Below are 25,929 nucleotides of genomic sequence, written 5' to 3'. Positions count from 1 at the left end.
TGTTTCTGGCTTTTCTACTGGGCTCCCATGGCCCACTGTTTATCTCTGCATCAATAACACAGTCTTATTTACTGTAGCTTTTAAATCAATTTCATTGATTTCACTGAGATTTTTGAACTAAATTTGCTGTAATTTTGTCTCATGACAATACTGATGGCTTACTTTTCAGATATAGAAAACAGGTCTTTAAAAATCTGCCCTTCATTAAAAGTGACATAAACTGGAAAATCTCGTACCAAGGTAATTTGTCAAATGATTAGCATCACCAAGCCTCTGCTGTGGAAATGACGTGTTATCTGTGTTGCTAAGCTTTAATATGGAGCTATTTTGTGTTTTGTGTTCCAATCTTTTATGGAGATAATAAGAAAGCTAGAACAGAAGCTAAACCCATTCAAAAAGAAATACAAAAGAATTTTTTCCCAACAATTAACTACAGTTAAAGGGCTAGCTGGCCTTACAAAGCTTGTTTGGGGTCATTTAAAACCTTCCAGTAAATGGTCTGTTTTGATTAACAGAAGTTCTTAATTTTAATGCAGTGTAACTTTTACTTTTTGGTTAGCAATTATTTTGTCTGTTAGCAGAGGTCCTTACCTATCCTCGAGGATGAGATGCATGAAAATCGGCATCTATGTCCTCTCCTAGAAGTTTCATTGTTTTACCTTTCATATTCAGATCTACAGTCCACATGAAATTGTTTTGTATGTGTAGTGTGACTTGAGGTATCAGGTGTCTTCCACTTCTGTAAGGATATACAGTTGGTTCCGCACTATTTATTGAAAAGACCATTGCCTCATTCAGCTCAGGCTGCTATGGCAAGACACCACAGACTGGGCAGCGTAATCAACAGACATTTATTTGTCACAGTTATGGAGCCTGGAAGTCCAAGATCAAGGTGCCAGCTGGTTTGGTTCTTGTGAGGGTGTTGTCCTGGCTTGCTGAAGGCTGCCAACTCCCTGTGTGCTCAAATGCCTTCTTCTTTGTGTGTACATGGAGAGTGGGAGAGTGAGAAACTGTCTTCCTCTTTTTTTTTTTGAGTTGGAGTCTTGCTCTGTCACCCAGACTGGAGTGCAGTGGCATGATCTCAGCTCACTGCAACCTCTGCCTCATGGGTTCAAGCGATTTTCCTGCCTCAGCCTCCCGAGTAAATGGGATTACAGGCATGTGCCCCCACACCTGGCTAATTTTTGTATTTTTAGTAGAGATGGGGTTTCACCATGTCAGCCAGTCTGGTCTCGAACTCTTGACCTCAAGTGATCCACCCACCTCAGTCTCCCAAAGTGCTGGGATTACAGGCGTGAGCCACTGCGCCTGCCCTTCCTCTTCTTATAAGGACACTAACCCTGTCACAAGGGGCCTTTCCTCAAGACCTAATCTAAACCTAGTTACTCCCCAAATACCAACACACTAGGAGTTAGGGGCTTAACATAGGAACTTGGGGGAAAGGCACAGACATTCAGTTCATAGCAACCATCTTTTCACCAATATCTGCAACACCAACTTTGCAGCAACCAAACATCCATGTACAAATAGGTGTTTCTGGCTTGTCTACTGTACTCTCCTGGCCTATTTGTCTACCTTTGCATCAGTAACATACTATTTACTGTAGCTTTTCAATCCATCTCATATCTATGAGAGGAATTACTGTATTGTTTGAATCTTTCTAAGGTAAATTGGTGGTATTTTTTCTGAAACAAATTGACTCCAAAAAATTATACATAATTGGCCAGGCACGGTGGCTCATGCCTGTAGTCCCAGCACTTTGGGAACTTGAGGTGGGTGGATCGCTTGAGTCCAGGAGTTTGAGACCAGCCTGGGCAACATGGCAAAACCCCATATCTACAGAAATACAAAAAAAAAATGCCAGGCATGGTGGCTACTGGGGAGGCTGAGGTGGGAGGATCACCTGACCCCGAGCAGGTAGAGGCTGCAGTGAGCTGAGATCATGCCCGTGCACTCCAGTCTGGATGACAGAGTAAGACTCTGTCTCAAACAATTATACACAATTACTGTTACAATCTTCCACTACAATTTTGGATTTCTCCTTTTAGTTCTGTCGATATAGATTATATATATATATATATATATAGAGAGAGAGAGAGAGAGAGAGAGAGAGAGATTTCATAAAGTCCAATTTTAGATTCCTTTTTGGAGTAAAACAGGTTTTGCACCGTTTACAAGTTTATGTCTGGGTTGTAACAGTTACCTCCTATCTGTGTTCTGTATTTCCTATACTCTTCCATTCAATCTTGGCTACCACAGGCTGATGGACAGGAATGGCAAAAAACACTTTTTTCTTGCATCTGGAGAGGAAACCTTGGCAGCAGACATTAGCTGCTGCAAGTTAGTCAAATGGGTGCATCTTTACATATTTTTTGAAACGATGTTATTGGTGCCTATAAATTAAGAATTCTTATATCTTCTCACAGAGTGGCCTTTAATCTTCATGAACTGGCCCTTGGTACTTCTACCAATGCTTCCTATTTACTTGGGAGTCTACTTGGTCTAATACAAGATACATCAGCTTCCTTTTAGTTGGAATATTTGCACATGCAAACACTTGACGTGTACATTTATTTTTAACATTTCTTTCTTCTTCTATTTAACTGGTGTCTGGTAAACAATACAGAGTCGTTGCTTGCAGCTTAAGTTCAAAGAGGATTGTATTTGCTTGGTATAGCAGACTGTGCTGGGGGCTCTCTCAGTCCCAGGTCACCTTAATCCAATCAGCAATTGAGAAGATCTAAAACTGGGTTTCAGTCCCCGGTGCTGCTCTATTTGCTGGTCACCCTAATTCCTGCGTGGTCTTTAACCTAGTGTTCAGCTTCTCTAGTTGCTCTCAGCTGGTGGTTGGTCTGAAACAATCCAGTCCACCCTTGCTGGAAGCGGAATCAAGAGAACTTTTGAAGTGAGATATTGTACGGTGTGTGATATGAATCACATTCATCTTTCAAGGGGATCTTTAGTGAAATACACAGTTTTTCCTCGTGATTTAATGCAATTACAGTTCATGAATTCCTTATGGGGAAAGGAGAGCTGCATCCTTGCTCTCTCCTTTGGTCAATCCTTGACCAATATTGGCCATATTGGTCAGTGTGGAGCAAAAACAGAGGCTTCTCAACAGGGACAGGAAGGTACAGATTAGAAGTGTATTCGGAGCACACACACATAGACACACACACACATGCACACTCATACACAGACACAGAGACACATACACACATGCACAGACACACACAGACACACAGAGGCACATACACACTCATACACAGACACAGAGAGACACACACCCATACACATACATGGACACAAAGTGACAGATACACACACAGACACACATTCATACACACACAGAGATGCAGGCACACATACAGATACAGGCTCATACGTGGACACACACACACCAAAAAAGACACACATACACAGATACTCATAGACACAGAGATGCACACACACAGAAACACATAAGACGCATACCCAGACACACACACATACACACCCATACACACACACCCCTATACAGATGCATACACCATACACACATGCACATACACACAGACATCCATCCATCCATACACACATACATATATGTACACACACAGACATACAATGCTAAGCTCAAAGTGTGAATATTAAAGTGTGAAAATTAACCAAACCAACAACTGAAGTACATTAAATAATAAAGGTGAACACTCTAATTCTAAATAAACTGAATTTAATATGGACCTTGAATTTCAAAAAACCATGAGCTCTGAAATATACTAGACATATTTCCATTAAGCAGAGCTCAGCCCTTCCCCATAATAAACAAAAATACATATAAGACATGTCCTTATAAGGAAGAAAGAAAGCATCGTGAGCTAAGGTGTTCCAGGGAAGGTTCCGTTGCTCTTTTTGGTTTTTTTTTTTATAATATTTAGCTGAGTGGCTCCCAAAGACAGAAAATTGCAACATGAGTCCCTGCAGAGCACAATTTCCCTTCACTCTTGTATCATCTAAACTCATGGTCCTTAACCTCAGTATCAGTCGTAAGCTGTGACCACAAAAATGTAGGACTAATTTTATCAATGACTTGCATTAAAAAACAGAATATTGGCCAGGCGCAGTGACTCATGCCGGTAATCTCAGAATTTTGGGAGGCAGAGGTGGGTGGATCACCTGAGGCTGGGATTTCGAGACCAGCCTGGCTAACATGGTGAAGCCATCTCTACTAAAAATACAAAAATTAGTGGGGCATGGTGGCATGCACCTGTCACCACAACTACTCGGGAGGCTGAGGCAGGAGAATTGCTTGAACTCAGGAGGCGGAGGTTGCAGTGAGCTGAAATCGTACCATTGCACTCCAGCCTGGGCAACAAAAGTGAAACTCCGTATCAAAAAAAAAAAAAAAAAAAAGGCCGGGCATGGTGGCTCATGCCTGTAATCCCAACACTTTGGGAAGGTGAGTGGGGAGGATCAACTGAAGTCAGGACTTTGAGACCAGCCTGGCCAACATGGTGAAACCCTGTCTCTACTAAAAATACAAAAAAATTAGCTGGGAATGGTGGCTCAGGCCTGTAGTTCCAGCTACTTGAGAGGCTGAGGCAGGAGAATTGCTTGAACTTGGAAGGCAGAGGTTGCAGGGAGCAGAGATCGTGCCACTGCACTCCAGCCTGGGTGACAAGAGCATAACTCTATCTCCAAAACAAAACAAAAACCACCAGAATATTTCAGACTACCTCTTTCACACACATTCCCTTATTCTTGCTTGTCTGAAGAGTAAGGAATATAACTGCAGTGATCACATTAACAAACACTCATGAAACTGCTTCTCGCATGGACATGTCATCCTCTGATGGATGCTGTAAGACAGAAAACAAACGTTGAAAGCCACTAGACAGAACCTGGTACCCACACTCCAGCTGTGAGACTTTGGAGAGGCCAGCCTCTTGACATCTCTTCTGAGCATTCCTGTGACAGAAGCAGTCATCACAAAGCCTTTTGTCAAAAGCATCCCCTTGTTTCAATCTACCTGTGGAATCCAGGTAGACTGGAAGGATGTTTACTGTGAAGTAAACCTACTTCTTATACTTCCTAGCAGCAGTGTGCTGGTAGACTAACTCTCCGGAAGAAACCGAAGCTCTGAGTTGAGATTTGTGGGCATGCAGGGTGAAAATAGTTCCTCCTTGGCTGATTTCAAACTCCCAGTGTGATGCTACTCAGGGTGGAGTTGGCGAGAGGTGTACAGTTGCTCCTGTTGGCCCGTGCAGTCAGCTCCAGCACCTTCTGCCTGGCAGGAAGGCAGGGCTTCTCAGAGAATCACACAGACACTACTTCTGCCTGTGAAGTAACTGTCCTGCCCGCAACACTTGTAATTGGCATACGCGACAGCTCTACCATTACAAAATTCCATTCCATTCCAGTCTTCAATAAGCCTCTTCAGTGGTTCCAAAGCAGAAAATTAGCTCAAAATCACCACAGAATTGTGATACACCGCCCATTTATAAAGAGCAAGTGTCTCTTCCTCCCCCTGTATTGGGGTTCTCCAGAGAAACAGAACCAATAAGATACAGAGACATACACCAGGAGATTTATTAGGGGAACAGGCTCACGCAATCACAGAGGCTAAGAAGTCGCATCATCTGCCATCTGCGAGCTGAAGAACCAGGAAAGCCAGTGGTGTGATCCAGCCCGAGTGTGAAGATCTGAGAACCAGGGGGGTCAATGGGGTGACGATGGCGTGACTTCCCCCAGTCCAAGGTCAAAGACTTGAGAATTCGAGGGTGGAGTCCTGGAGTCTAAAGACCCAAACACCAGACCCTTCAATGTCTGAGGGCAGAAGAGTTGGATGTCCGAGATCAAGAAGAAGAGAATTCGCCCTTCCTCTGCCTTTTTGTTCTATTTGGCCCCTTAAGGGATTAGATGATGCCCACTCTCATTGGTGAGGGTAGATTCCACTGCGTCTACTGATGAAAATGTTAATCTCTTCTGGAGACACACTCACAGACTCATCCAAAAACAACGTTTTATCAGCTATCTGGGTGTCCCTTAGCTCAGTCAAGTTGACACATAAAATTGACCGTCACACCACCATATGGTAGAGAAGCTGAGAGAGTGAATAAATTCTATCTAGCCAGCAAGAAAGGGGCATCTCGGGAAGATGTGAGTTGGAAAGGGCAAGTATGTCAAGGTATCCTTTTTGGTAACAAGGCGCGAGGCTTACTCGAGGTACCCCTAGTAATGAGTAGTATGGACAGGGCAAGTGATATGATACTAATGAAAGGATTTCATTTTGTGGAAATAATTTTCAAATATTGGAAACAAGCGTCCAGATCCCACAGGAGTCTGGGAAACACCACCCAAACAGGAATATAAGGGAGGAAGGAGATGGCAGGCTCTAGAGGTTAGAATTTGGGGCCTGTGAAGGTCATCCAGCCTCCGGGCAGCTGGAGAACAGGCTGTTACCTCGCGCTCTTGCCAGTGCGAGTCTGCAGGACACAGAGAGGGTGCCACACTCGTTCGTGTGATTCCACTCCTCTACGTTGCTTCTTCAACATCTCATCCCTACCTCGTATTTCTTTTTGGCCTCCCTTCCAAACGGTTGGGTATTCATGGCCCCAGCTTGCCCACGGCCTCTCTGTTCTTTGCCTTCTCTCAGTATCCTTCAGCTTCAGCTATTCACAATAATAGTAGTGTTAATTCCCCAACATTTATTAAGCCCCATATTTCAGCCAAGCGCTCTGCTGAGTGCCTTATGGGAATGATCTCACTTAAACCTGACAACAAGCCTGTGCTGTTGACTCTCCCTTTACCTCGTGTGCAAATTCTCGTGAGAAACCTATTTCACTGCATTGACATCCCTGCTTGGATAGAGCTACCCCTGTACCATGTCACTGATTGCTGGCTGGCTGACGGACGGACTATCTTCCTCAGGCTTCCCAGCGTGCTCTGATCAGCTCCCGAGAGGCAGCGTCATTACTGTGTTTGTGGGGCTGCCTAGGGCTGCTTCCCTCAGCAGTGGCTATCATCAAGAGACCTCCGCAGGGGATGTGGGTGTAGCAGGCATCCTGGCTCTGTGTTCATCCAACGAGAAAGATATGGTTCGAGAAGCAGGTGGCTGGCACATATCACAAAACAACAAGCTGAGGGCCTGAACTGCATCATTACTTAGAGAAAAAGTACTGAGAGAAAGGAAAAGGTTTGTGAGATGCCAACAGCAAGGATTTCCAATAGTCCAGTCATTGACTTGTATGGCTGTGGACACATGACCACACTGTGTTCCATAAAAATGACAAGCCCATCAACAAGTGGGCAAAGGATATGAACAGACACTTCTCAAAAGAAGACATTTATGCAGCCAAAAGACACATGAAAAAATGCTCATCATCACTGGCCATCAGAAAAATGCAAATCAAAACCACAACGAGATACCGTCTCACACCAGTTAGAATGGCGATCATTAAAAAGTCAGGAAACAACAGGTGCTGGAGAGGATGTGGAGAAATAGGAACACTTTTACACTGTTGGTGGGACTGTAAACTAGTTCAACCATTGTGGAAGACAGTGTGGCAATTCCTCAAGGATCTAGAACTAGAAATACCATTTGACCCAGCCATCCCATTACTGGGTATATACCCAAAGGATTATAAATCATGCTGCTATAAAGACACGTGCACACGTATGTTTATTGTGGCACTATTCACAATAGCAAAGACTTGGAACCAACCCAAATGTGCAACAATGATAGACTGGATTAAGACAATGTGGCACATATACACCATGGAATACTATGCAGCCATAAAAAAGGATGAGGTCATGTCCTTTGTAGGGACATGGATGACGCTGAAAACCATCATTCTGAGCAAACTGTCACAAGGACAGAAACCCAAACACCACATGTTCTCACTCATAGGTGGGAACTGAACAATGAGAACACATGGACACAGGAAGGGGAACATCACACACCGGGGCCTGTTGTGGGGTGGGGGGGAGCGGGGAGGGATAGCATTAGGAGATATACCTAATGTAAATGACGAGTTAATGGGTGCAGCACAGCAACATGGCACATGTATACATATGTAACAAAGCTGCACGTTGTACACATGTACCCTAAAACTTAAAGTATAATAAAAAAAAAAGAAAGAAAAATTAACCCAAAAAACAAAAATGGCAAGAAACCGAAAGCCAACCCACCCTCTGCCTCCACTCTGGAGGAATATAGTGCCTTTGCATTTCCTACTCACAGGATTATTCTGTAGATGTATCTTGGTATCTTATCGTAAGTCCATCCTTTTCTGACCAAGGATACACCTCTTTGGGGATGTACCTCTAGTGGATGACCTAGAAACAAAGTGGCCACCCACTACCAAGTTTCTCATTGTCTGTGTGAGTGTGTAGCCCCTTCTTTCACACATTAGAAAATTTTAGCTATCTAGTTAAGATGGCAAATTTTTAGAATAGAATTTTGTTTAGCAATTTCAGCTACTGTCACTGCTTTGTACAAAAAGTGTTTTATTTTTTTTAAGAAAGTGATTGTCACATAAATATTTGCTGCTTAACTATTCTATGCTGGCTATCAAGGACCGTGAAGGGTCTGGGATTTCATTTTACTCTGCTGAAAAGCCAGCACATTAGTTTGTCACAATTTTGTGGATGCTTAGAGGAAACATAAGAATCCTAGACCAGAGATGAAAGACTTTCTTACTTGCTGCAAAAGCAGCAGCCACAGTATCAGAATTCATGTCTGTTTCCTGGACCCCACTTCCCAGAGGGAAAGTGTTTGGTCCTTGATCCTGCAGTGGGTCGTGTCACAAAAAACACCGAGCTTGCAAACCAGCTGCTCCATAGCAGCCAGTGGCTCACGTGCTCTTTCTCCCTCATCTCTTCAGGCTGCTCATTGAAAATGCAACCCTGGAAAATGGCCCTTATTAATAAAGAGCCATGAAGGGCCTTGCATTTCTGCATATCCAGCAAGAACATACAGGAACAAAAGGCCCAGGGAGAACTGTCTCCCAACATCAGCACATGTCCATGAGACGAAAATTCACCCATCTCATAAAGGTACAGACAAGAAAACTTGCAATGACTAGAGAAATCTTTTAACTGTATAAACTACATAAACTAACAACCATACTTTGCCAAAAATAAACTATACAAACAGCCATATTTTGCAAAAATAAGATTTGGACATCCTTTGAAAACTCAGTAATGTGACATTTCCTTTTCAAATTGTCCTGGTTCCTTGGATTAACACTGGACTCCACATCAGAATGACCAGTGTTTGAATGCAGAGGCATGGCCTATGAATGAAAGTATCTCCTCCGTCTTCTCTTCCCCACCATTTCTTATTCCCTTGTAACAAAATTAAACATATTCATTTCTTTCCTTCTAGGCTCTATCATAATTTCCATTTTTCCTTCTTCAGAACTTTAGATTCTTCTCTGAAGGCTTGAAATTCTATAAAAGAAAGTCACCATTACCAGATGCTTTCAAGAAAGGTGGAAATATGAAATTTGGAACATTAGGGTTCACAAATGTTAAGGAACCACTTAGTCTCCAAAAAAGGAGGCAAGAATTTACTTACGATCTTTTGTTTCATCATTTAGATATTCATCCTCTAAATATTTACATTATTTATGAACAATTCCCATGAAAAGTAAATATTTAACATTTCTGTTGAGGTCAGAATAATAATGATTCTTATATACAATAGTTTTTCCAACTTCTTACTATAACATTTTTTTAAAAACATGGAAGAGTTGAAAGATTTATACCAAAAAATAAAATACCTATCACCTGGATTCAACCATGGTTAATATTTTACCATATTAAATCCAGAAACATATTTTATTCCGGACCATTTGAAAGGAAGTTGCAAATATCATGACACTCTACTGATCCCTACCTTACCATACATTTCCTAAAAGGATGTTCTCCTACATAATCCTCAAACTGTTATCATATCTAAGGAAATCAATGACAGTTTCTTAAAACTAGTACTCACTCCAATATTCTCTTTAATATTCAAATCTAATTTCCCCAAGTGTCTTCTATAGCTATATTTTTAAACTAGCATCCAATCAAATTCCATACTTTAAATTGTTCTTACATGTCTTTAGTCTATTTTCATATAGAAAGAAAATGGTTCTTCCGCCTTTCCCCAGACCTGACACTGACAGTTTTAAAGACAGCAGGCCAGTTATCTTTTAGAACAGCCTACTGTCTACATTCATCTCATGGTTTCTTTACGAATAGCTTCTTTCAGACTTCTTCATAACATCTTTATCTATATGTTGTCAGCAATTTTCTCACTTAATATAAAGACATAATTGAGACAAGTGAGAAACTAGTGAAAGGAAGACAGGTATTGGCTATTCTGATCTCCCTGGCAGGCCTAGCATGGTGCCAGCCAGGAAGTCACTGTCTTGGTAAGTTCATGGGGCTGGATCTGGGTTGGTCGGCACAGTTAACAGAGAATTCAGGCAGATAAATCACAGGGGCGCTTGAGTCAGATTCTCAGGAGCTATGAGGATTATATCAAGAGCCAAATGTATTCATCAAGTCCAAGGTTAAACTCCACCACAAAAGCAAGACAGAGACAAAAGAGCAGAAGCAGAACTTCAACAGGGTCAGAAGAGAGAATGAAGACAGACAACTGCTGGGTGTAGGATGGCAGCACCACACTCATCGTTTTCAGTCCCACGTTAGGTGGGGTCAACGTGTGCAGCGGCTGTCAGGGCCGTCATAGTAAGTTTGTGTGCGTCAGAATATCAATTGCCATCAATGTCTCCGTACATCTTCCATAGGATCCCATGATCTTCTCAATGTAATTCTGACATGCTCTACTAAAGAAATTTCACTGTAAAGAATTGAAGTTAATGACTAAGTTTTAAATTGTCACTTTAATACATCTTTAAAAATACATTTTAAAAATATATTTTAACTATATTTTATAGATCCTCAAGATTGTATCATTTATGTTAGAAATCAGTCAAAAAAGATCCAAAATGTTAAATGTTAAACAAATATACTCACTAGATAAACATGAACATTAGTGCCTGGCAAGGATTACAGTTGTCAATATTTAATTATAAGGCTTCTTCCAAACCCTTAAGTGAAACATCTAATTAAGAAAATGCTGACGTGCAGGAACAGCCTTTCCCTGGCAATGCCATCTCTAATTGCTTCTCCATTTTTTCTAGTAAGACAATGCTTGCTCATTACTGCCGTTCTAGTATGAATAAAATATATTTGGTATCATCATACATAAAATAATTTACAAGAAACATAATTATAAAAAACTGGAAAAGAGTTGAAAAAATGAATGCTTTATTTTTAATAAGTCATGCCTTTATTACAAAAGACATTTATTTGTACTTTGAAATGGATTATTATGGTCTCTTTATCAGTACTAATAGGAATATTAGGGAGGCTGGGGCAGGAGAATGGCGTGAATCCGGGAGGCGGAGCTTGCAGCGAGCCGAGATAGCGCCACTGCACTCCAGCCTGGACAACAGAGGGAGACTCCGTCTCAAAAGAAAAAAAAAAAAAAAAAAGAATATTATTTTGAGAAAGATACTTTTAGATTACTAACTTTTTTTTTTTTTTTTTGAGATGGAGTCTTGCTCTGTCGCCCAGGCTGGAGTGCAGTGGCGCAATCTTGGCTCACTGCAAGCTCCACCTCCCTGGTTCCAGCGATTCTCCTGCCTCAGCCTCCTGAGTAGCTGGGACTACAGGCACGCACCACCATGCCTGGCTAATTTTTGTGTTTTTTTAGTAGAGACAGGGTTTCACCATATTGGCCAGGCTGGTCTCAAACTCCTAATCTCGTGATCCACCTGCCTCGGCCTCCCAAAGTGCTGGGATTACAGGTGTGAGCCACCGCGCCCGGTCTTACTAACGTGATTTTTAAATTTTTATTGGAAAGAGTATAATTCTTTGGAGTTATTTTGTTCTGGTGGAAATACCATGAATTACTTTGGAAGTAGATTTTAATCCTCATTACTATCTTAATTCATTAAAAATACCTGGTTATACCTATGTGTGGAAGATATAGATTGATTTCCAGGAATTCAATCTTACATTTATCACATAGCAGCTAGGTGGAATTAGACAATTTCTTATTCTGAGCCTCAATTTCTTCATGTGTAAAATGAAAATAAAATTCCTGCCTTGTATGTATGCTTTGGGGATTTGTGATAATGTCCATAAAACATGCATGCTGTATTTGGTGTCTAGTAGACCCTGAAATACCAGCCGTTACTTCAAATGCTAAGAACCCTGGCTTTATGGAATAGTAAGTAGTTGATCAATGATCACATTCATCTGTGAAACATGCTTATAAAAATGTTAAAACAAGTAAAACAGAGGTCTGAGGTAGACCTTCCCTTGGGAATTTATCACCTGCTTCTTTAAACTGCGCTTCATATATTCAAACTGTAGTTCCTTAGGATTCAATTTTTTGCATTAATTTAGCAAGAAAACTTCTATTTGAGGGAAGGGGTTCATTTTATTTGATGTAGGCTCTTAGTTCAACTGGATTATGAAGAGTCCTGCATCTCTACAGGGATGGTTTCCAAGTCTTCACACTGTTTGATACTAGGGAATTGAATTAAATGTTGCATTTTACAATACATCCCCACTTTACCTTTCTATACAAAGAGCGACATTCTCTGAAATAGAATTATTAACTTTAAAAGCCTGATATGAACAGGAGCTTCCAAGGTGAGTTGTGTCCTCATCCTCATGACTGACATTATATAGAAGTTCCACAATATTTAAAAATAATTTCAAGTTATGGTTATAAAGAAGGCAATGATTCTAAGATTATATAGGTATACATGCATTTGAGAAGAACATTTTATTTAGTTCAACTTTGCCTTAATAACCTCTTTATTAAACAACAGAAGGGAAAGTCTTAGCTTGGCTGTTTTTCTAGTCACTGCCAAAGACCATCTGCTTCTGAATGATATTTAATCATTGCAAAGTTCCATAATCATTAATCATGACAAAGCCTTTATTTTGTTTCTGTGCTTTTCAGAAGATGGCATCTTCATTATTTCTACCTCTCAAAAAGGGGCAACTCTTTTTTCAATACATAATAAATAGTATTTATCCATTTGCTTGACGAGTACTACGTAGTACATGGTGTCTAGAAAATCATGTCCTGTTAAATGTGTGTCTGTGTAACACTATTCGTGAGACCATTAAATGTGAGGTAATTTTTGAAATTTTTGCCTATGAATTGTAAAATTCTGCATATCCAAAAAGGTGCGTGGTTTGACTGCGTGAAATGAAACAAATATCCAGACTGCACCCATGAGGGAAGAGTGTCCCCTGTACGTGAAGGATATGTGGAATGGTATTTGTAAATGTTAACTGATATTTTTTTCCCTAGCATTTTCACTTACCTTTGGCCCTCCTCACATTGAATGATCCAAAGGTTTATTTTGAGAGAAAGCAATAGACTCTACTCCTCATTGTTTTTATGTCAAAAGAAAACAAAACAAAACTGAAACTTACAAGCTTGGATTAAAGCAGGAATAAGAATGGGAAGCTCCCTCCTCCCAGGCAGTGGGTGCTTGGCTGGAGGCTGCATCCGATGACCGCAGCGCTCAAAGACACCGTGAACCGGGCACACCCTCAACTCCAGATCGTCTGAACAATTTAAAGAATCTCATCTTCAATCAGAGGATACTATCTGAATATTGCTTAGCCCGGTATTTTAAGGACAGTAAAAGATAATGTCATCATTGGCTGTTTTGTTTTTTCTTGGTGTCCTGAAATGTTTTGCTGAGTGTGGTCTAAAGGTATCTTAATAAAGTCTACCTCAGTGTTCTTCAAACTATCTGTAGTGTCAGATCATTTTTCCAATTTATTGTATGTAAATACTTTTAAAACATAATAAAAATCAAAAAATAAAATGATAAAAATCCTCAAAATGTGAATCCAAATGTTTAATTATTAGAGTCAACAGACATAAAGCTCCTCTGCCAACTGCTATAAAATTTCTAAATGCTTATTCTCCCTTTCTGCACTTACCGCTTCATGGACAGGGAACAAGTAGCTACCTGGTAACTGCAAGCAGGTAGCTAATGGCACACACATTGAGAAGCACTGTTCCAGCAGAGAAAGGAGACGCTCCTCATTTCAGAGGGTCTTGAAACTCCCACAGCAACAGTAAAGAGCACTCCCATCTTGCGTGGTGTGTGATGTCATCTGTTGTATAGTTTGTGATCACTGTGTGTGTTCACCAACTCCTGTACGTGCAAAGTTGCCTGTTTATACTTCCAGTCCTTAACTTCCTGCCATATTCCACCATGAATGTCCAGCCCCGTGCCTGGCCCTTCTCTAGATGTTTCCCTAGACCTCAACTCAAGGTGTGTATCCCAGAGTGAACTCCTCATCTGCATGACAAACCCGCATCTTCTGTGGTCCCCCTTTATGAGTGGCACTCTCCTCCCAGCCACCTGACATCATCTTCAGCCCTTCCTCTTGCTTCCTCAGCCTCACCTATGTGTTGCCGGTCTTGGGAGATTTGTCAGTTCAATATCTTTCTTTTCACTGTGTTCATTCCTAGGCTCCATACCTCTCAGGCGTTTATTCCTAGAGCTTCCTACTAGCTCCCTGCACATTAGCTCAACCCTCCTAAAGTGCAGCCTGCTCCTGCCACTTCTCTACCTAAATCCTGGCTTTTCCAGTGTTTACTAAAGAGAGCCCAGTATCCAGGCTCTCCCTAGTTTTAACGCTTTTCACAACAGCTGTGCTCCTAACAAATGGAAAGCCTCACGCCATGTGGCTCTGGGCCTCCACGGCTTTGCTCACACTGCTTTGGTCTCCGACAGTGCCCTCCCAAGCCCCAGGTGTCCATGTGCCCCACTTTTGGACATTCTTTAGAACTCAGACCCCTGACATCGCCCCTCGTTCAGCATCATCTCCGCGCCTCCTCTTCTCTCTTAGCTGTGTGCTCACAGCAGTGTGTCTGAAACCACTCTTGGATCATTTATCTTATTTTTCCTGCTTTTTCATAAGATCCATTTCCAGTTCTTTCCCTAATTACTCAAAAATCTAGCTCCATGTGGATCTTAGATGGAATAGATATTCATTAAATACAGGTTGACAATTAATTAAAGAATACATTAGCCTACACTGCAGATCATAGCAATAAACTGTATTTTGTACAAAAGATGCTGTGGGTAGTAAGAATATCTTTAGAATAGTGAATATCATGTAATAGATATTTATTAAGTGCTTATGTACCAGCCACCACAGGGACAAGTTTGTATAGATGATCTCTTAATCCTTACAATGTCTCTTTGAATAGGCATTATTATTAATTCCCATTTTATGAATGAGAAGGTAAAGCTTAAAGAGGTTAGGTAGCCAATGTGAATGCTTAATTAGCATTCTAAGAAAAGTTACAAAATGAGATTTGAATCAAATTCGATCTGACTTCAATCTGTGCTCTAAAAACTATACTAATTTACATGAGCTGTTATGATTACGCAATGCTGAAGGGTTCAAATCCCATAGGACTATCATTATGAGCTTGGCACAAGGGCCATGCTTGTTGGATAAGAACTTAGAAAACACTCAACATGTGTTCTTTAAACACACAGCAAAAAAACATATAACTGCTAACTCAAATACAATTTTCAAGATTTAAATATATCCCAGCTACTCAGAAGTCTGAGGCAGGAGAATCACTTTAACCCAGGACGCAGAGGTTGCAGTGAGCCGAGATCGTGCCGCTGCCCTCCAGCCAGCCTGGTGACAGAGTGAGACTCTGTCTCAAATTAAAAAAAAAAAATTTAAATATAACAACAAAGAAAGAGGATAATTTAAAGCAAAAGCCTACGCATAAGACAGAACAAAATTGTTTTCTCGGGTATAAGCAAATACTCGATATGGAAAACCAAGTTGAATTCATTATTATCTTTAATGACAGTAATGGTCATATGACTGTAATAGAAAGTAACGGTCATGAGGGAGGAGCCAAGATGGCCAAATAGGAACAGCTCCGGTCTACAGCTCCCAGCGTGAGTGACACAGAAGACGGGTGATTTCTGCATTTCCATCTGAGGTACCGGGTGCATCTCACTAGGGAGTGCCAGACAGTGGGCGCAGGTCAGTGGGTGCGCGCACCGTGCGCGAGCCGAAGCAGGGCGAGGCATTGCCTCACTTGGGAAGCGCAAGGGGTCAGGGAGTTCCCTTGCGGAGTCAAAGAAAGGGGTGACGGACGCACCTGAAAAATCAGGTCACTCCCACCCAAATATTGCGCTTTTCGGACCGGCTTAAAAAACGGCGCGCCAGGAGATTATATCCCGCACATGGCTCACAGGATCCCACGCCCACGGAGTCTCGCTGATTGCTAGCACAGCAGTCTGAGATCAAACTGCAAGGTGGCAGCGAGGCTGGGGGAGGGGCGCCCGCCATTGCCCAGGCTTACTTAGGTAAACAAAGCAGCCGGGAAGCTCGAACTGGGTGGAGCCCACCACAGCTCAAGGAGGCCTGCCTGCCTCTGTAGGCTCCACCTCTGGGGGCAGGGCACAGACAAACAAAAAGACAGCAGTAACCTCTGCAGACTTAAATGTCCCTGTCTGACAGCTTTGAAGAGAGCAGTGGTTCTCCCAGCACGCAGCTGGAGATCTGAGAACGGGCAGACTACCTCCTCAAGTGGGTCCCTGACCCCGACCCCCGAGCAGCCTAACTGGGAGGCACCCCCCAGCAGGGGCACACTGACACCTCACACGGCAGGGTATTCCAACAGACCTGCAGCTGAGGGTCCTGTCTGTTAGAAGGGAAACTAACAAACAGAAAGGACATCCACACCAAAAACCCATCTGTACATCACCATCATCAAAGACCAAAAGTAGATAAAACCACAAAGATGGGGAAAAAACAGAACAGAAAAACTGGAAACTCTAAAACGCAGAGCGCCTCTCCTCCTCCAAAGGAACGCAGTTCCTCACCAGCAATGGAACAAAGCTGGATGGAGAATGACTTTGACGAGCTGAGAGAAGGCGGCTTCAGAAGATCAAATTATTCTGAGCTACGGGAGGACATTCAAACCAAAGGCAAAGAAGTTGAAAACTTTGAAAAAAATTTAGAAGAATGCATAACTAGAATAACCAATACAGAGAAGTGCTTAAAGGAGCTGATGGAGCTGAAAACCAAGGCTCGAGAACTACGTGAAGAATGCAGACGCCTCAGGAGCCGATGCGATCAACTGGAAGAAAGGGTATCAGCAATGGAAGATGAAATGAATGAAATGAAGCGAGAAGGGAAGTTTAGAGAAAAAAGAATAAAAAGAAATGAGCAAAGCCTCCAAGAAATATGGGACTATGTGAAAAGACCAAATCTACGTCTGATTGGTGTACCTGAAAGTGATGGGGAGAATGGAACCAAGTTGGAAAACACTCTGCAGGATATTATCCAGGAGAACTTCCCCAATCTAGCAAGGCAGGCCAACGTTCAGATTCAGGAAATACAGAGAACACCAAAAAGATACTCCTCGAGAAGAGCAACTCCAAGACACATAATTGTCAGATTCACCAAAGTTGAAATGAAGGAAAAAATGTTAAGGGCAGCCAGAGAGAAAGGTCGGGTCAACCTCAAAGGGAAGCCTATCAGACTAACAGCGGATCTCTCGGCAGAAACCCTACAAGCCAGAAGAGAGTGGGGGCCAATATTCAACATTCTTAAAGAAAAGAATTTTCAACCCAGAATTTCATATCCAGCCAAACTAAGCTTCATAAGTGAAGGAGAAATAAAATACTTTACAGACAAGCAAATGCTGAGAGATTTTGTCACCACCAGGCCTGCCCTAAAAGAGCTCCTGAAGGAAGCGCTAAACAGGGAAAGGAACAACCGGTACCAGCCGCTGCAAAGTCATGCCAAAATGTAAAGACCATCGAGACTAGGAAGAAACTGCATCAACTAACGAGCAAAATCACCAGCTAACATCATAATGACAGGATCAAATTCACACATAACAATATTAACTTTAAATGTAAATGGACTAAATGCTCCAATTAAAAGACACAGACTGGCAAATTGGATAAAGAGTCAAGACCCATCAGTGTGCTGTATTCAGGAAACCCATCTCACGTGCAGAGACACACATAGGCTCAAAATAAAAGGATGGAGGAAGATCTACCAAGCCAATGGAAAACAAAAAAAGGCAGGGGTTGCAATCCTAGTCTCTGATAAAACAGACTTTAAACCAACAAAGATCAAAAGAGACAAAGAAGGCCATTACATAATGGTAAAGGGATCAATTCAACAAGAAGAGCTAACTATCCTAAATATATATGCACCCAATACAGGAGCACCCAGATTCATAAAGCAAGTCCTGAGTGACCTACAAAGAGACTTAGACTCCCACACAATAATAATGGGAGACTTTAACACCCCACTGTCAACATTAGACAGATCAACGAGACAGAAAGTCAACAAGGATACCCAGGAATTGAACTCAGCTCTGCACCAAGTGGACCTATTAGACATATACAGAACTCTCCACCCCAAATCAACAGAATATACATTTTTTTCAGCACCACACCACACCTATTCCAAAATTGACCACATACTTGGAAGTAAAGCTCTCCTCAGCAAATGTAAAAGAACAGAGATTATAACAAACTATCTCTCAGATCACAGTGCAATCAAACTAGAACTCAGGATTAAGAATCTCACTCAAAACCGCTCAACTACATGGAAACTGAACAACCTGCTCCTGAATGACTACTGGATACATAACGAAATGAAGGCAGAAATAAAGATGTTCTTTGAAACCAACGAGAACAAAGACACAACATACTAGAAACTCTGGGACGCATTCGAAGCAGTGTGCAGAGGGAAATTTATAGCACTAAATGCCCAGAAGAGAAAGCAGGAAAGATCCAAAATTGACACCCTAACATCACAATTAAAAGAACTAGAAAAGCAAGAGCAAACACATTCAAAAGCTAGCAGAAGGCAAGAAATAACTAAAATCAGAGCAGAAGTGAAGGAAATAGAGACACAAAAAACCCTTCAAAAAATTAATGAATCCAGGAGCTGGTTTTTTGAAAGGATCAACAAAATTGATAGACCCCTAGCAAGACTAATAAAAAAAGAGAGAAGAATCAAATAGACACAATAAAAAATGATAAAGGGGATATCACCACTGATCCCACAGAAATACAAACTACCATCAGAGAATAGTACAAACACCTCTACGCAAATAAACTAGAAAATCTAGAAGAAATGGATAAATTCCTCGACACATACACTCTCCCAAGACTAAACCAGGAAGAAGTTGAATCTCTGAATAGACCAATAAAAGGAGCTGAAATTGTGGCAATAATCAATAGTTTACCAACCAAAAAGAGTCCAGGACCAGATGGATTCACAGCCGAATTCTATCAGAGGTACAAGGAGGAACTGGTACCATGCCTTCTGAAACTATTCCAATCAATAGAAAAAGAGGGAATCCTCCCTAACTCATTTTATGAGGCCAGCATCATTCTGATACCAAAGCCGGGCAGAGACACAACCAAAAAAGAGAATTTTAGACCAATATCCTTGATGAACATTGATGCAAAAATCCTCAATAAAATACTGGCAAAACGAATCCAGCAGCACATCAAAAAGCTTATCCACCATGATCAAGTGGGCTTCATCTCTGGGATGCAAGGCTGGTTCAATATATGCAAATCAATAAATGTAATCCAGCATATAAACAGAACCAAAGACAAAAACCACATGATTATCTCAACAGATGCAGAAAAAGCCTTTGACAAAATTCAACAACCCTTCATGCTAAAAACTTTCAATAAATTAGGTATTCATGGGACGTATTTCAAAATAATAAGAGCTATCTATGACAAACCCACAGCCAATATCATACTGAATGGGCAAAAACTGGAAGCATTCCCTTTGAAAACTGGCAGAAGACAGGGATGCCCTCTCTCACCACTCCTAGTCAACATAGTGTTGGAAGTTCTGGCCAGGGCAATTAGGCAGGAGAAGGAAATAAAGGGTATTCAATTAGGAAAAGAGGAAGTCAAATTGTCCCTGTTTGCAGACGACATGATTGTATATCTAGAAAACCCCACTGTCTCAGCCCAAAATCTCCTTAAGCTGATAAGCAACTTCAGCGAAGTCTCAGGATACAAAATCAACGTACAAAAATCACAAGCATTCTTATACACCAATAACAGACAAACAGAGAGCCAAATCATGAGTGAACTCCCATTCACAATTGCTTCAAAGAGAATAAAATACCTAGGAATCCAACTTACAAGGGATGTGAAGGACCTCTTCAAGGAGAACTACAAACCACTGCTCAAGGAAATAAAAGAGGATACAAACAAATGGAAGAACATTCCATGCTCATGGGTAGGAAGAATCAATATCATGAAAATGGCCATACTGCCCAAGGTAATTTACAGATTCAATGCCATCCCCATAAAGCTACCAATGACTTTCTTCACAGAATTGGAAAAAACTACTTTAAAGTTCATATGGAAGCAAAAAAGAGCCCACATCGCCAAGGCAATCCTAAGCCAAAAGAACAAAGCTGGAGGCATCACACTACCTGACTTCAAACTATACTACAAGGCTACAGTAACCAAAACAGCATGGTACTGGTACCAAAACAGAGATCTAGATCAATGGAACAGAACAGAGCCCTCAGAAATAATGCCGCATATCTACAACTATCTGATCTTTGACAAACCTGAGAAAAACAAGCAATGGGGAAAGGATTCCCTATTTAATAAATGGTGCTGGGAAAACTGGCTAGCCATATGTAGAAAGCTGAAAGTGGATCCCTTCCTTACACCTTATACAAAAATCAATTCAAGATGGATTAAAGACTTAAACGTTAGACCTAAAACCATAAAAACCCTAGAAGAAAACCTAGGTATTACCATTCAGGACATTGGCATGGGCAAGGACTTCATGTCCAAAACACCAAAAGCAATGGCAACAAAAGACAAAATTGACAAAAGGGATCTAATTAAACTAAAGAGCTTCTGCACAGCAAAAGAAACTACCATCAGAGTGAACAGGCAACCTACAAAATGGGAGAAAATTTTCGCAACCTACTCATCTGACAAAGGACTAACATCCGGAATCTACAATGAACTCCAACAAATTTACAAGAAAAAAACAAACAACCCCATCAAAAAGTGGGTGAAGGACATGAACAGACACTTCTCAAAAGAAGACATTTATGCAGCCAAAAAACACATGAAAAAATGCTCATCATCACTGGCCATCAGAGAAATGCAAATCAAAACCACAATGAGATACCATCTCACACCAGTTAGAATGGCAATCATTAAAAAGTCAGGAAACAACAGGTGCTGGAGAGGATGTGGAGAAATAGGAACACTTTTACACTGTTGGTGGGACTGTAAACTAGTTCAACCATTGTGGAAGTCAGTGTGGCGATTCCTCAGGGATCTAGAACTAGAAATACCATTTGACCCAGCCATCCCATTACTGGGTATATACCCAAAGGACTATAAATCATGCTGCTATAAAGACACATGCACACATAGGTTTATTGCGGCATTATTCACAATAGCAAAGACTTGGAACCAACCCAAATGTCCAACAATGATAGACTGGATTAAGAAAATGTGGCACATATACACCATGAAATACTATGCAGCCATAAAAAATGATGAGTTCATGTCCTTTGTAGGGACATGGATGAAATTGGAAATCATCATTCTCAGTAAACTATCGCAAGAACAAAAAACCAAACACCGCATATTCTCACTCATAGGTGGGAATTGAACAATGAGATCACATGGACACAGGAAGGGGAATATCACACTCTGGGGACTGTGGTGGGGTTGGGGGAGGGGGGAGGGATAGCATTGGGAGATATACCTAATGCTAGATGACGAGTTAGTGGGTGCAGCGCACCAGCATGGCACATGTATACATATGTAACTAACCTGCACAATGTGCACATGTACCCTAAAACTTAAAGTATAATAAAAAAAAAAAAAGAAAGTAACGCTTATATGACAATTGTACACTGAGCCACCGTTCATCCCTGAGGAAATGCTAAGTCCCAGCAGCAAGCATTACTAACTTTGGAAAAACTCAAGACGATGAAACAAAAAGACCTAAGACAATAATTATTCTTCAAGAAAGACATTTAAACTGCCCCTGGGTTGTTGTAAGATTAGAAACCCATGACAGTGGATTATATGAGGAAGAAAATATTTTCTTCATCCATTCAATAAATATTTGCTAAATGTCTTTTATGGGCATGTGTTCCCTTAAGTGTCACAGGACAAAGAGTTTATAGTCTGATAATGGACATAAGATGTGAATATAAATCACAGGGTTTCAGTGGAGGAAAAGACAAGGGCTACACAAATGTATGATTTGTGATGCTACTGATTATTCTGCAGATTAAAAGTTTGATCCCAGAGTGGTAAATGCATTTCCTTCTGGGTGTTACACAGCACTCAGTGGTAATGTTAATTAAACTAACCCTTATCTTCTGTAAGTCATGCAGGGAAGGTAATGATGAAAGATTGGCATGTACTATAATTTGTTCTCCCAAATAACTGAACTAAAAGACACCATTTATTACAGCCACATGGTAAATATAATGAATCATTTTTCTCTGTTTTTTCTTCACCTAGAATGTTTCTTTCAATAAAACATGGCTCTCAATTTTCATTTCTGTGCCAAGAAGCAGGTAGTAATCATAGATAACACTTTTTTAGCATTTCTCCATATATTACTTATTATTTCAATTAATTTCTGGAGCACTTCTATGCAGAAAGTATTATCACCTCCATATTATCAAGAAAGAAAAACTACAGCTAGGGAAGAAATGAATGACCTGCCCAGAATTACTCAGCTAGCAATCGGTTTGAGGTGGAATCCACCTCGTCTGGTTTCCGGGTCTACAGGCTTCATCACACTGGAGGCTGCCTCAGTGTCAGAGGAATCGAGATAAGTCCCTCTAGTCACTTTACTGCCAGCCATGCTGACAGGCCCTTCAAGCAGCCACTGCAATGTTTCCACAGTAATGTGATTTTAACAATGGAACTCAATCACTCAAAAAAAAAAAGAGTGAATATATGCTTGCTAATAACTATGACTTATACAAGCTATAAATACTTCCTGACTAGAAGTTTACACTCTACCAACATTCATACACAGCAATTATCTATCTATCCACCTTACGTATTGCTAGGAATTCTTACATTTGCAGAACAAATAAGAGAATAAGACCGGCCGGGCGCGGTGGCTCAAGCCTGTAATCCCAGCACTTCGGGAGGCCGAGGCGGGCAAATTACAAGGTCAGGAGATCGAGACCATCCTGGCTAACATGGTGAAACCCCTTCTCTACTAAAAATACAAAAAATTAGCCGGGCGTGGTGGCAGGCACCTGCAGTCCCAGCTACTCGGGAGGCTGAGGCAGGAGAATGGCGTGAACCCAGGAGGCGGAGCTTGCAGTGAGCCGAGATCGCGCCACTGCACTCCAGCCTGGGCGACAGAGCAAGACTCCGTCTCAAAAAAAAAAAAAAACCAGAGATTGAGAATAAGACCTTTACAAGGTGTATTGTGTGGTTCAAACCAGAAGTATGAAAAGAGGTAATGAAGAGGGATGAGTGAGACTGAAAAACACTGAGGCATAATATATACATGAAATGGACAGGGAAGCCAAGGTGAAGATCAAAGGTGTTGGATCACGTATCCAGGGATGCAGGAAAGTGAGGTGAAGACAGAGAGATCAGTATCCTCTGCCTCTGGCTCAGATGTGCAGTCAGTACGCCCTGTGGAGCAAAAGGGGCAGCCTCTGTTCCATGGGCCTTTCACTTACGGAATTCTTGGGTCAGAGATTAAAAACCCCTGCTGCTATTCAGCATCTTTGCTTGGAAAAAAGCCTCTAAATTGCAGGAGAGTTTGCATATTTTCCTACTCAAGTTAATTTCACTACTTTTAGTTTTTTGTTTTTTTTTTTTAAAGCCAAGTACAGAATCAGGCAAATGTAAAATGTATGCGTTATTGTCAAAAAAGTACAAACTGCTAATAGGGTTTTCCTTTAGAACTCAGGGCCACAGCTTTAAAATTAGATCCGCATTTCTTGCAGACAGGTTTACGGTTTCCTTTATATGTATTCACATTCTCATCACTCTTTAAACTTTTTCTCTGACATTACCCATTTCTCCCTTTCCAAGTTTCCAGGCTTTTGAAATTTAAATTCCTGATTTTAATATTAACCACACAGGCTAACAGCAGCAGCTATCTGCCAAGTGACAGATGAGATGGTAGGAGCAAATTTAAATTCATTGTCTTATGTTTGTTTATTCGGTGTTATAAATCACTACCACAGAAATCCAGGAGGGAAAAAGAATCCTTCAAGGTGCAAAGTCTGCAGTATTGAAAGAAAAGCCGTCTTAATACTTTCTTCCTTCCCCTTTGTCTCTTATGTTTTAGTGATTGAAAAAGGAGTGGGGTATGATGAGAGGAAGGGAATGTGAGTAGTCGTGGATCTGAAAGGAAAAATGGTATGCTCAGAGGGCCAGTCTGCTTCCTGCCTGTGTGTGCCTCTACCTGCTGCTGCAGACAGTAGGAACACACAAACTCAGGAGGATTCTGCAAAGCACCTAGCTGTGTATATTACTTCTCATGGCACTTACCTAAAATTCAATTTCATGGCCAGATGCAGTGGCTCATGCCTGTAATCCCAGCAATGCCCAGGTGGGAAGATTGCTTGAGGCCAGGAGTTCAAGACCAGCCTGGGCAACATAGGGAGACCCCGTCTCCACAGAAACATTTTTAAAATTGGCCAGGCATAGTAGCTCACACCTGTAGTCCCAGCTACTCGAGAGTCTGAGACGGGAGAATCAGATCGCTTGAGCCTGGGAGGTTGAGGCTGCAATGAACAGTGATCATACCACTGCACTCCAACCTGGGTGACAGAAGGAGACCTCATCTCAAAAAGTAATAATAATTTAAAAATTCAATTTCTTCACTGTCCATAAAATTGAATGCATTTGTTAATTCAGAATAATCTCTTATGTAAATAATGCCAAATGCAGTGTTATTCAAAAAGTATCTATTCCAAATATTTGCACAATATAAACATGAGCTAATATGTTCAAGAATTGAAACTAACACCAGTTTCACTGGCCATGCTGCATATTTCAGTGCCTATTTGTTAAAAGCACTAAGACTAGAGTTTAAGGTCAGTGTGTAGATCTGTTTGCTCATAAAACATTAATTGCATAAATGTTAAGGACCAGTTGCCAATAACAAAGATCTAATTCCTCAGGCATATGTATTCCAGTGAGTTTTCCAAAAGCAATTAACTGATAGGGAAAACTATCAGTTGATAAACATATGTCATAATATAGTATTTTTTAATGAGTGGGAACAACTTTTTGCTTAACTGCTTATTTTCTTTTTTGTTGTTGTTTTTTTGAGACGGAGTCTCTCTCTCTGTCGCCCAGGTTGGAGCGCAATGGTGCGATCTTGGCTCACTGCAAGCTCCGCCTCCCGGGTTCACGCCATCATCCTCTTGCCTCAGCCTTCCGAGTAGCTGGGACTACAGGCACGTACCACCACGCCCGGCTAATTTTTTGTATTTTTAGTAGAGACGGGGTTTCATCGTGTTAGCCAGGATGGTCTCGATCTCCTGACCTCATGATCCGCCCGCCTCGGCCTCCCAAAGTGCTGGGATTACAGGCGTGAGCCACCGTGCCCGGCCGCTTGTTTTCATATTGACATGAATATCATTCAATTTTGTGAAACTGTAATTATTTAAATTGTGAGTGAGTCAGGATCAGTATGAATGCAAAAATTACTCAGGATTTTTTGGAGGGAGTAGGGAATGGCCTCACTAGATTACAATGCAGAAACCTCAGTCTGTGAATTGGCTCATCTGTCTTTGACCATTTCACTATTTCTTTGCAGCATTCAGGA

The 25,929-nt window shown here is 41.3% G+C and overlaps 1 protein-coding gene and 1 long non-coding RNA gene across 3 annotated transcripts in view; both read right to left on the bottom strand.

Moving 5' to 3' along the window:
* The window catches only part of FAM149A (family with sequence similarity 149 member A), a 70,634-nt gene that overhangs the window by 42,958 nt on the left and 1,747 nt on the right, over positions 1–25,929 (bottom strand). The window lies entirely within an intron of this gene.
* On the bottom strand, positions 3,883–24,686 carry LOC124900171 (uncharacterized). Its single transcript, XR_007058421.1, has 2 exons — positions 24,645–24,686; positions 3,883–9,432 (listed from the first exon to the last, which is right to left on the bottom strand). It is a non-coding gene; the product is annotated as an uncharacterized LOC124900171 (long non-coding RNA).

This window comes from Homo sapiens, chromosome 4 (genome assembly GCF_000001405.40).
Source record: "Homo sapiens chromosome 4, GRCh38.p14 Primary Assembly".
NCBI classification, from domain to species: Eukaryota; Metazoa; Chordata; class Mammalia; order Primates; family Hominidae; genus Homo; species Homo sapiens.
The sequence above is the reverse complement of the archived record's forward strand: the minus strand, read 5'-3'. Positions and strand labels throughout refer to the sequence as shown.